Source organism: Homo sapiens, chromosome 20 (genome assembly GCF_000001405.40).
Source record: "Homo sapiens chromosome 20, GRCh38.p14 Primary Assembly".
Taxonomy (NCBI): Eukaryota; Metazoa; Chordata; class Mammalia; order Primates; family Hominidae; genus Homo; species Homo sapiens.
Window position 1 is genome coordinate 51,858,337 of NC_000020.11, and position 12,869 is coordinate 51,871,205.

At 46.4% G+C, this 12,869-nt stretch overlaps 1 long non-coding RNA gene across 1 annotated transcript in view, besides 1 other annotated feature; it reads right to left on the reverse strand.

Annotated features, from left to right (window-relative positions):
- Positions 1-4,577, reverse strand: part of LINC01429 (long intergenic non-protein coding RNA 1429) — a 31,117-nt gene extending 26,540 nt beyond the window's left edge. The window contains exon 1 of the long non-coding RNA NR_110016.1: positions 4,489-4,577. This is a non-coding gene — a long non-coding RNA (long intergenic non-protein coding RNA 1429). The remainder of the gene's footprint in view (positions 1-4,488) is intronic.
- Positions 4,066-4,632: an enhancer, noted in NCBI's record as "H3K27ac-H3K4me1 hESC enhancer chr20:50478941-50479507 (GRCh37/hg19 assembly coordinates)". NCBI's record gives its function as "activates a minimal SCP1, AML or CMV promoter by ChIP-STARR-seq in primed H9 embryonic stem cells {active_cell/tissue: H9 hESC(primed)}" and the evidence as "EXISTENCE:reporter gene assay evidence [ECO:0000049][PMID:30033119]".

The window sequence follows — 12,869 nt, forward strand, 5'->3', positions numbered from 1 at the left end:
TTGAACCCGGGAGGCGGAGGTTGCAGTGAGCCAAGATTGCTCCACTGCACTCTTGCCTGTGCGACAGTGAGACTCCATCTCAAAAACAAACAAACAGGCCAGGCGCGGTGGCTCATGCCTATAATCCCAGCACTTTGGGAGGTCAAGGCAGGTGGATCACGAGGTCAGAAGATTGAGATCATCCTGGCGAACACGGTGAAACCCCGTCTGTACTAAAAATACAAAAATTAGCCTGGCTTGGTGGTACGCACCTCTAGTCCCAGCTACTCAGGAGGCTGAGGCAGGAGAATCACTTGAACCCAGGAGGCAGTGGTTATAGTGAGCCGAGATCGAGATCATGCTACTGCACTCCAGCCTGGGTGATACAGCAAGACTCCATCTCAAAAAAACAAAACAAAACAAAACAAAACAAAACAAAAAAACAAAAAATAAGAAAACAGGCATTCAAATACACGTACATACGTGTTCAGAGTAGCACTATACACAATAGCCAAAAGGTGTAAATATCCCAAATGTCCATCAACTGGTGAGTGCAGAAATGAGATGAAGTACTGTATAAGTTCTGTTGTACCACAGACAATTATTCAGCCATAAAATGGAATGAGATACTGATACGTGCTACAATGTGGATGAGCCTTGAAAACATTACAGTAAGTAAAAGAAGCCAGACACAAAAAGCCACATTTGATTTTGTTGATAAGAAATAGGAATCTGAATCTGTTCACTTTAACCAGAATAGGTAAGGCCATGGCGAGATGCCGATTGGCGGTTGCCAGGTCCTGGGGGCTAGGGTAGAACTGGGGAGCGACTGCCTACTGGCTACACGGTTTCCACTTGGGGTGATGAAAATGTTTCGGTGCTGGACAGAGGTGGTGATAACGCAATACTGTGAATATACCAACTGCTCCTGAATTGGTCACTTTAAAATGGTTAATTTTATGTTATGTGAATTTCATGTCAATTTTTTTTCTTTTTTCTTTTTTTTGAGACAGAGTTTCACACTTGTTGCCCAGGCTGGAGTGCAGTGGTGCAATCTCGGCTCACCACAACCTCCGCCTCCCGGGTTCAAGCGATTTTCCTGCCTCAGCCTCCCGAGTAGCTGGGATTACAGGCGTGCGCCACCACGCCCAGCTAATTTTGTATTTTTAGTAGAGACAGGGTTTCTCCATGTTGGTCAGGCTGGTCTCGAACTCCCGACCTTAGGTGATCTGCCCGCCTCGGCCTCCCAAAGTGCTGGGATTACAGGCGTGAGCCACCGCGCCCAGCTTCATGTCAATTTTTAAATTTCACGTTTGATTCCAGGGGTTGGGAGTTTGCTGCCCTTCATCATGGAGTTTGCTGCAGCCAGTGCAGGGGTGAAAAGGGAAGAGCAAAACAGGCAGATCTCGTTTAGGAGAGATACTGCAATTTATCTGATGCTGATCTTTTAAGTCACTTCTGGTGCCAAAGAGCACTGGACTTGGAGCCTGAAGAACTGAGACTTCCTGACATTTGGCCTTAAGCAAGCCTGAGCTTAGACTTCCTGAGCTTTTCCCGATGTTTTGTGTTGGGCAGCCCCATTTCCCTGGACAGCTGCAGGGATGGAGGGAAGTGATGCGTGTATGCATGTGGGCTTGTTCCTTCCTTCTCTATTCCACAGGCTGTCAGTGTACAGGTATGTTTGCACACAAGAAAGATGTTGGTCCTGGGGTCTCAGAGGCACCAAAGAACTGGCCAGCTTTGTCCAATTCATCCAAAATCCAGTCAGTGGCGTAAAGAGGAAGCCATCACACCAGGCCTTTGCCAACAAAGCAGACAGGCTGCCCAGCCCAGGAGCTGCCTACTCTTACTCGCCTGTTGGTTTGAGCAGATGCAGCCATGACAGCAGGGTTACAAAGGCCACCCCAGCCAGGCCACCACCCTCCACCAGGGCTCTGCCAGGATGGATTGAACCCTGGCCCTCATGTGTTACTTGATGACAGCAAGATACCTGATAAGAAACTGTTTGGATGTCACAGAGAACACATTTTAACAGCCCAGAGAGGTGGGATTATCACAGAGTGGTGTAAAAGAAGCAAAATTATTTCGGATAAACCATGAAGGAATTTTATTACCCAGTGCAGTTATAAATCAAGTTCTCTGTAAATGCAATAAAACAATTGTTTAGTCTGCATGATTCATACCACAAACCTCAGGATTCTTGGTTTTGATCTTATTGCCGCAATAAACTGTCTAGACAGCAATTAACAAACTGTTTTTCCTTCAGATGTTTGGAGTGCTGGTACAGCGGGAATCGGCACTTAGAAATTCAGGGGCTTCTTCCTGGCTCCTATTAATTATCAGGTTGGGTGAGTGGGAAAAGCCCAGAATCTTCTCAGAATTAGCCTTCTGGAAGTGTCCTTCCCCTGTGAATGTGCCACTTCACCACATAATATTCACTTATAACTGGCAGAAAATCCAAATATACAGATTTTCTTAAACCTTGGCCTGTCACTTTAGAGAGAAGTGAGCAGAATTAACTTTTTTTTTTTTTTTTTTTGGAGACAGTCTTGCTCTGTTGCCCAGGCTGGAGTACAATGGCATGATCTTGGCTCACTGCAACCTCCACCTCCCGAGTTCAAGTGATTCTCCTGTCTTAGCCTCCCAAGTAGCTGGGATTACAGGAATGCACCACCACGCCCTGCTAATTTTGTATTTTTAGTAGAAACAGGGTTTCATCATGTTGGTCAGGCTGGTCTCGAACTCCTGACTTCATGTGATCCACCTGCCTTGGCCTCCCAAAGTGCTGGGATTACAGGCATGAGCCACCATGCCATGCCTGGCCTAGCTTTTGTATATCCTTGGAGCAAAATTTATATACAGATAAGTCATTTCTTCATGTATTCATTCATTTATTCAGCATTAGGGTATAATAGTTTAGAACACTCACTCAGGAGTCTAATCGACTTTCGTGCCATTTCAGGTACGTGATTTCACCTTCCTGAAGTTTATTTTGCATATGTTGAAAGTCATGGAGGAAAATTAAATGAAATTATCTGTGTAAATTGCCTGGAACATAATAAGAGCTCAAAACTATTCACTATTATTGTCTATCATCCATGCATTCATCTGTCCATCCACGTATTCACCATCCCTCTATCTATCCATCCATCCACCCACCTATCCATCCATTCCTTCACCCTTCCTTTCTTCCTTCCTTCTATCATTTATTCACCTATCTGTCCATTCTTCCTTCTTTTCTTTCCTTCCTTCCAACATTTATCCATCCATCCATCCATCCATCTATGCATCCACCCACCCACCCACCCATCCTTCCATCCATCCCTCCATCTATCCCTCCATCTGTCCATTTATCTACACACTCACTCATTCATTCCTTCTTTGCCTGGTACTCTATGCCAGATTGTTGAGATTATAAAAACAAATAAGATATATCCCGACTTCATGGAGATCCCAGTTTAGCTGGAAAGACAGCATTAGGTCTCTGGCTGTAGGCAGCATCTGATCCTGAAGGAAATAGTGAGAGAAAACCTGGGGAAGTGTTTAGTTTCTGGTCTAGCCCTGGTGATTTAAGATGATATGTGAGACGCACTCACCTCCCAGGGCTCCTGATGGCTCAGAGCTCAGTGGATGAACATGGCTTCATCCACACAGTCAGTTACACGGTGAGACTACACATTTGGCAAATGCCCCAAACAAACAAACAAACAAACAAAATAATTTGGGTTCAAGGTAACAGTAAATCACACTCTTCAAACCTAAATATTCTTCTCTAGGCTTCTTCCCACCTTTTCTTCCCTTCTTTCTGCCAACTCCTTCTCCTCCATTTTGCGTCAGACACCATGTGCATTGGGAGGATGTTGCTAGGTCACAGTGGGGACACTTGCTCTATTTACAGAGAAAACAGGGCTCCTCAGATTCACAGGGTTTGCAAAGGAAAGCCCTCCCAGAAAGGAATTCCAGCCTTCCCTTCTGAGGCTGGTGCAGCAGGGCTGGGGGCTGCAGGAACAGACCAGAGAAAGTGACTCAGAATTCCCTTCGGCTACAGTACGATTGCGAGAACCATTTTAAGTATGAGCTGTGGCTCCCCTCTCCCTTTTTCCTCAGCCTCCAGGGAGCTGCCATTTAAAAAATCTTGGCCTGGCCAGGGGCGGTGGCTCATGCCTGTAATCCCAGCACTTTGGGAGGCTGAGGTGGGCGGATCACCTGAGGTCGGGAGTTTGAGACCAGCCTGACCCCTGACCAACATGGAGAAACCCCGTCTCTACTAAAAATACAAAATTAGCTGGAGGCTGAGGTAGGAGAATCGATTGAACTCGGGAGGCAGAGGTTGTGGTGAGCTGAGATCACGCCATTGCACTCCAGCCTGGGCAACAAGAGCAAAACTCCATCTCAAAAAAAAAAAAAAAAAAAAGAAAAGAAAGAAAGTAATCCATGTCTTTCTCACGTACCAACATCCAGATAGAAGCAGTCCAGGATGGGTAGAGCAGCTCCTTTGGTAGAACCCACCTCTATTGCGCTGCCATGCCTGGCACGTTGCTCCCATCCCCATGGTCCAAGGGTCCTCTCCTCCACATCCCCATCCAGCCAGCAGAAAGGGGAGACAATGAAGGGAAGGCACGCCCCAGAAGGATGTGCCTCCGAGGCCTCTCACATCACTGGAATGCTCTCCCCATAGCCTAGGATTTAGTCACGAGACCGCACAGGGGAGCTGAGCTCTTTGTTCTGGTTGGCCATGTGTCCACATCTATTACTACACAAAAGTGGGGATGGCCATGGAGGGAGAACCAGCAAATTCTTTCATACGCTCCTATGGCCTTGATCCATCCAGTGGGTACATTTCTGAGCCCCTCGCTTTCTCACTGCCTCTTCTGCTGGGAGCATGACTCCCGGGCTGCAGAAGGACAGGCTGGTGCATTGAGAGTCTTTAGGCTTTGCTTGAATTGCAAATGCTCTGGTTTTCTGGCAAGACGGAAGTAGGTCCCTGGGCAGAAGTGTCAGAAGACCTGGGGTTGCCTCTGAACGTCACTGTTTCTGGGTCTGAGACCTTGGACTCAGAAATGAAAAAAACCTCTGAACCTCAGTGAAATGGGGGAAAAAATAAATGACTTCCATAGAGTTATTGGGAGGACCAAACTGCATTACCAAATACATTCTGAAAAGGTGAAAGTTCTCCAAATGATTGTGTGTTTTATCATCTCCACCACCACCATTTTTCTTTTTCTTTTTTTTTTGAGACAGAGTCTTGCTCTGTTGCCCAGGCTGGAGTGCAGTAGCGCGATCTCGGCTCACTGCAAGCTCCACCTCCCGGGTTCACCCCATTCTCCTGCCTCAGCCTCCCGAGTAGCTGGGACTACAGGCACCCGCCTCCACGCCCGGCTAATTTTTGTATTTTTAGTAGAGACGGGGTTTCACCGTGTTAGCCAGGATGGTCTCGATCTCCTGACCTCGTGATCCACCTGCCTCGGCCTCCCAAAGTGCTGGGATTACAGGAGTGAGCCACCGCGCACGGCCCATTTTTCTTTTTTCTTAATGCATGTATGTAGCTGAATTTGTGTAAGTACAATGGATCCATGATGAGAGTCTATTTATTGAATTTTTTTTTTTTTTTCAGATGGAGTCTCACTCTGTCACCCAGGGTAGAGTGTAGTGGTGTGATCTTGGCTCACTGCAACTTCCGCCTCCTGGGCTCAAGTGGTTCTCCTGACTCCCAAGTAGCTGGGATTACAGGCACCCACCGCCACGCCAAGCTAATTCTTGTGTTTTTAGTAGAGATGGGGTTTCGCCATGTTGGCCAGGCCGGTCTCGAACTCATGACCTTAAGTGATCCGCCCGCCTCCCAAAGTGCTGGGATTACAGGCATGAGCCACTGCGCCTTGCCTAATTATAGAAATTGTATTTGGAGAGAAAAGTATACTCTTTCTCTAAGCATTTCTGACATTACATTCTTTCAAAGCAATGCGAACAACTTCTGAAGGTACTGGTCTGGGCTCCAAGCTCAGATCTGGGTGGCGGAAGATTCTATGAACAGGTCCTGGCCAGGTTTGGGGGAGGTCCATGAGCAGGTCTTCTCACCAGGAGCAATATCCCTAGGAAACCAACCCACAGAATAGAAATTGAAAGAGCAAAAAGGCTTCCTTTTCTAAGAAAGGCCATGATGTCTCCAGGAATAGCATAAATATCCCCTGCAGGGCTTATCCCAGAAAAGAACATTCAGAGGGGCCTCTGAGTTGCTCTGCACCCCCAGCAGATGCCCTGCTCCAAATGGTCTCTTGTGTCTCCAGCTCTCCACCCAGGCTCTACCTGGAAGGCTCTTCTCTGACTTGTCCTCACGCAGCCCCTTCAACTGAGCCACAGTGACGTCCCCCATAGGCATCCTGGTGAGTCCTGGTGGGGTATCGTAGAGGCTCAATGACCTTTAAAATGAGTTCAGGCCAGGCACGGTGGCTCCCACCTATAATCCCAGCACTTTGGGAGGCGAGGCAGGCGGATCACCTGAGGTCAGGAGTTCAAGACCAGCTTGACCAACATGGCATCTCTACTGAAAATACAGAAGTTAGCCGGGTGTGGTGGTACATACCTGTAATCCCAGCTACTCGGGAGGCTGAGGCAGGAGAATCACTTGAACCTGGGAGGCGGAGATTGCAGTGAGCCAAGACTGGCCACTACACTCCAGCCTGGGTTACAGAGCGAGACTCCGTCTCAAAGAAAAAAAGTCAGTTCAAACTTTGCGATTCAACAACTGGGTGACTCTCCGGAGTCAATGAATTCGCCAATCCATGGATACTGATGAGCTTGACCTGAGCTGCTTGGGAAGCTGAGCTGCAGTGAATACGATGCAGCAGATGGAGCCAACGCTGCAAAGCAGAGCCGCGGGCAACACGGAGTTCCCGGGACTCCCTCAAAATCCTCCCCTTTATCTACACTGGCTCCCGCAGACCCGCGGGCAACACAGAGAGTGCTTGGGACTCCCTCAAACTTCTCTCCTTTATCTACACTGGCTCCCACAACAGGATCTCAACCCTGGTTGTACTTGAGAATCAGCAGGGAAACTTCTAACAGTTCTGATGCCTGAGCCATGCCCACAGATCAATTATATCAGAAACCCCGTAGCTGGGACCTGGGCATAAGTATTTTAAAGCTCCCCAGGTGATTCCAAAGTCCAGCCAAGGTAGACATCCACTGCTCTGGGGACCTTGTCCATCCCACAGGTAGAAGGCCCCATCTGTGACCACTTTTCTGAGGTCCAGACTTGCCAATTTATTTTCTCAACATCACCATTTCAGTGCCTAAGAGACAACTCATCTTGCCAGAGTAAAGTGGATTGTCCCCTCCACACCTGCTTCTCTTCTCACCAGGGTCCCCCAGCTGTTTCAGGGCAAAAACTGAACACCTTCTGATTCTTTTCTTTGTCTCACAGCCCATAGCCAATTTTTTTGGAATTCTCAACAGCTATAATGTCAAAATATATCCCCATTCTAATCTCTGCTCCCCACCTCCCCTGCTAGCCTGGAGATCCCCTATTCTTCTTTTGAATCCTTCTAGTTTGGTCTCTGCCAACAGCTCATGTAAAATCTATGAAAAAATGAAGCTCCGGGTTGGGTGTGGTGGCTCATGTCTGTAATCTCAGAACTTGTTGTTGTCGTTGCTGTTGTTTTGAGACTGAGTCTTGTTCTGTCGCCCAGGCTGGAGTGCAGTGGTGAAATCTCGGCTCACTACAACCTCCACCTCCCAGGTTCAAGCAATTTTCCTGCCTCAGCCTCGTGAGTAGCTGAGACTACAGGCGCGTGCCACCACGCCCAGCTAATTTTTTCTTTTTTTTGTATGTTTAGTAGAAGCGAGGTTTTACCATGTTGGCCAGGCTGGTCTTGAACTACTGACCTCAAGTGATCTGCCTGCCTCGGCCTCCCAAAGTGCTGGGATTACAGGCGTGAGCCACCACACCCGGCCAATCCCAGTACTTTGGAAGGCTGAGGTGGGAGGATTGCTTGAGCCCAGGAGATGGAGGCTGCAGTGAGCCATGATTGTGCCACTGCACTCCAGCCTGGGCAACAGAGCAAAACCCTGTTTCCAGAAAACAAACAAGCCCAAAAACTCAGCATGAAAAGATGCTCAGCTCATTAGCCATTGGGGAAATTCAATTAAAACCAAAAGAAGGGCCGAGCACGGTGGCTCATACCTGTAATCCCAGCACTTTGGGAGGCTGATGTGGGTGAGTCACCTGAGGCCAGGAGTTCAAGACTAGCCTGGCCAACTTGATGAAACCCCATCTCTACTAAAAATAAAAAAATTAGCCGAGTGTGGTGATGCACGCCTGTAATCCCAGCTGCTCGGGAGGCTGAGGCAGGAGAATTGCTTGAACCTGGAAGACAGAGATTGCAGTGAGCCGAAATTCCACCACTGCACTCCAGCCTGGGTGAAAGAGCGAGACTCCATCTCAAAAAAAAAATAAAGATATGTTGAGATACACAAATACCATTGTGTTACAATTGTCCACATCATTCAAGGCAATAACATGTACGTGTTTGTAGCCTAGGAGCAATAGGCCATACCATATAGCCTAGGTGTGTAGACTCACTCCATAACGTACCCATAATAACGAAATGCCATAATGTACCAACAGGAGAACAGATGAACAAATTATAGTATGTTTATACAATGAAATACTACTCAGCAGCCGGGCACGGTGGCTCACGCCTGTAATCCCAGCACTTTGGGGGGCCGAGGTGGGCGGATCACGAGGTCAGGAGATCGAGACCATCCTGGCTAACACAGTGAAACCCTGTCTCTACTAAAAATACAAAAATTAGCCGGGCATGGTGGCGGGGCGCTTGTAGTCCCAGCTACTCGGGAGGCTGAGGCAGGAGAATGGCGTGAACCCAGGAGGCGGAGCTTGCAGTGAGCCGAGATCACGCCACTGCACTCCAGCCTGGGCGACAGAGCAAGACTCTGTCTCAAAAAGAAAAAAAAACCAAAAAACTACTATTCAGCATACAAGAAATGAATTACTGACGCAAGCAGCAACGTCAATAAATCTTATAGACATTCCTCTGAGCAAAAGAAGCTGGGTAAACTTTATGAATGCATTTATAAGAGGTTCTAGAAAAAAATGATTCAAGGGTGATATGTTAAAATATGGCTTCTAGCCAGTGGGATGGTCAGGGGTTTGACTGGATTGATTGAAAAGGAGCATGAGGGAGCCTTCTGGAGTGATGGAAATGATTTTTATCTTGTTTTGGGTGGTGATTACAGGTGTCCAAAGTTACTGAACTCACTTAAGAGCTGTAAGTCTTGGCTGGGCAGTAATCCCAGCACTTTGAGAGGCCGAGGTAGGTGGATCACCTGAGGTCAGGAGTTCAAGAGCAGCCTGGCCAACATGATGAAACCCTGTCTTTACTAAAAAAAAAAAAAAACTACAAAAATTAGCTGGGCATGGTGGTACGTGCCTGTAGTCCCAGCTACTTGGGAGGCTGAGGCAGGAGAATTGCTTGAACCTGGGAGGCGGAGGTTGCACGCTGCAGCCTGGGCCACAGAGCAAGACTCCATCTCAAAAAAAAAGAAAAAAAAAAGGAACTGTAAGTCTTACTGCATGTAAATCATACCTTAAAAAGTAATTTGGGGGCCAGGCGCGGTGGTGCATGACTATAATTCCAGAACTTTTGGAGGCCAAGGCAGGCAGATAACTTGAGACCAGGAATTTGAGACTGAGACTAGGCTGGGCAACATGGCAAAACTCTGTCTCTATAAAAAATACAAAAATTAGCTGGGTTTGGTGGTACACACCAGTAGTCCCAGCTACTTGGGAGGCTGAGGTGGGAGGATTGCTTGAGCCCAGGAAGTTGAGGCTGCAGTGAGCCATGAGTGCACCACTGCACTCCAGCCTGGATGACAAAACAAGACCTTGTCTCAAAAAAAAAAAAAGAAAAAAAAACACAGAGTCCCACAAACCTCTGCTCAAACTCCCCCTACCCTCACCCCCAACCTTTAGGACAAAATCTGGAGCACCCACTCTGGTCTTCAGAGCCTTGCATGAACTGCCGTCTTTTCCCTCCTTGGCAGTGTCTACAACCACCCTTCCCTTTGCTCTTTTTTTTCAGACAGAGTCTCACTCTAACACCCAGGCTGGAGTGCAGTGGTGCCATCTCAGCTCACTACAACCTCTGCCTCCCAGGTTCAAGCGATTCTCCTGCCTTAGCCTCCATGTAGCTGGGATTACAGGCATGTACCATCGCTCCTGGCTAATTTTTTGTATTTTTAGTAGAGACGGGGTTTCACCATGTTGGTCATGCTGGCCTTGAGCTCCTGACTTCAAATGATCTGCCCGCCTCAGCCTCCCAAAGTGCTGGGATTATAGGCGTGAGCCACCGTGCCCGGCTGGCTTTTCTTTATAGAATGCCTGCCGGTGTATACATCACTAAGCAATCATTCTTTTAGTTCTCACACACTTTTTTGGAAACACCATGCATTCTTTTGTACTTAGGGGCTTTGCTTTAATATTATGTTCCTGAGATTCATCCAGGACCACTATTAATTTTCATAGTTGTGTTCTAATCTATGATGATCACATAATTTAGTCACCCATTTTCTTGGGAAGGGGCATTTAGGTTGTATCCAGATTTTTGCTGTTACTCACAATGCTGCCAAGAGCATTGTTGTACATGGCTCCTGGGACATGTATGCCAGAAATGTTTAGGATATTTATCTATGAATGAAATTGCTTGGTCAGAGGGTATGTGCGTTTTCAGCTGTATCTGATATTTCAAAGCTATTTTTTAAGGTGGTTGTACCAACTACACTTTTCACCAACTGTGTAAAAGAGTTTCCTTTTTGTCCTATATCCTTATCAATACTGGGTGCCCTTAAATTTATTAATTTTTGCCAATCTTGCGGTTTTAATTTGCATTGTCTCAATCATTAATAAGGTTAATCATCACTTTATATATTGGGCATTTATCAAAAAATAAAGCTGTGTATTTTTAGATGGGAACAAATGCACAGAAAAAGATCTAAAACCGTGATTCTAAGAAGGGGAGTGGAAAAGGAGGGGTGGGATGTGAATACTTTGTTCTGTGTGATCTTCACATTTTTACAACAAAAATTATTTAATATGCTTATAAAATTCATATAAAAATGGCCAGGCATGGTGGCTAATGCCTGTAATCTCAGAACTTTAGGAGGCCCTGGGTGGGCGAAATCACTTGAGGCCAGGAGTTCGAGACCAGCCTGGCCAACATGGCAAAACCCCATCTCTACTAAAAACACGCACACAAAAAAATCAGCTGGGGGTGGTGGTGCACACCTGCAGTCCCGGCTACTTGGGAGGCTGAGGCAGGAGAATTGCTGGAACCTGGGAAGTCAAGGTTGCAGTGAGGCAAGATCATGCCACTGCACTCCAGCTTGGATGACAGAATGAGACTCTGTCTCAAGAAACAGAAAAAACTGGCTGGGCGCGGTGTCTCATGCCTGCAATCCCAGCACTTTGGGAGGCTGAGGTGGGCAGATCACAAGGTCAGGAGATCGAGACCATCCTGGTGAACACGGTGAAACCCCATCTCTACTAAAAATACAAAAAATTAGCCAGGACTGGTGGGCGCCTGTAATCCCAGCTACTTGGGAGGCTGAGGCAGGAGAATCACCTGAACCCGGGAGGCGGAATTTGCAGTGAGCTGAGATCATGCTACTGCACTCCAGCCTGGGAGACGGAGTGAGACTCCATCCCCCCCGCAAAAAAAAGAAAAAATTGATCTAAAAATTAAGCAAGATATAGATCAGTACGCATCATTAATTTTTTTATTTTAAAAAATTATATGTAAACACACACATACATGCATTGCTTTATATGTGTGTGTGTATGTGTGTGTATAGAAGAAGGCCTGAAATAATTTTCTCAGAGTTTTTAAGGGTGGTTTTCTGTGTGGAGGTGGGGATGCAACTGTGCAGTGGTGGAGTTAAGGAGGGTAGGGGTAGTAGGGGGCGGTATATAATTGTTCCTTTTAAATTTTATGCACCTTTTAAATTGGATATTTTCTTCAGTCTTTAATACAAAATTCACTAGTTCTGCGATTTAACATTTTTATGTTATTTTACAAAAATCTTTCTGATATTTCCTTCATTCTCAATATCCAAATTTTCTTTTTTTTTTTTGAGACAGAATCTTGCTCTGTTGCCCAGGCTGGACTGCAGTGGCACGATCTCGACTCACTGCAAGCTGTGCGTCCCGGATTCATGCCTTTCTCCTGCCTCAGCCTCCTGAGTAGCTGGGACTATAGGCGCCCGCCACCACACCTGGCTAATTTTTTTTGTATTTTTAGTAGAGACGGGGTTTCACTGTGTTAGCCAGGATGGTCTCGATCTCCTGACCTCGTGATCCGCCTGCCTCGGCCTCCCAAAGTGCTGGGATTACAGGCGTGAGCCACTGTGCCCAGCCTAAATATCCAAATTTTCTGTGGACTGTCACAGGTATAAAGTAAAGTGCCCCACCCCCACACCCACCATGTCCAAAAAGAAAAGAGTAAACAAGGTTCCAGTGACCTGGACCATACCTAACTCCGCCTCAGTTGGTAACTCTGATGTGAACAGCACACATCAGAAGAACATAGGGCCACCACTGTGATATAGGTGGTAAAATTCCCTTTATCATAAACATGTACAATGATTACATATCCATAATAATTAGAAATAAAAACATTTTTAAAGGTAAAGCTAAGCAGAAAAATAAAAAATAAAGGTTCCTTTATGTTCTTGAGATCTGAAAAGGAAATTATACGTACAGCCTTTACAATACCTTTTATTATAAATCTGTTTATGAGTTTAAAACTATGCTGTCCAATATGTAGCCACTAGCCATATGTGGCTATTTAAATTTAAATTGACTGAAATTAAATAACATT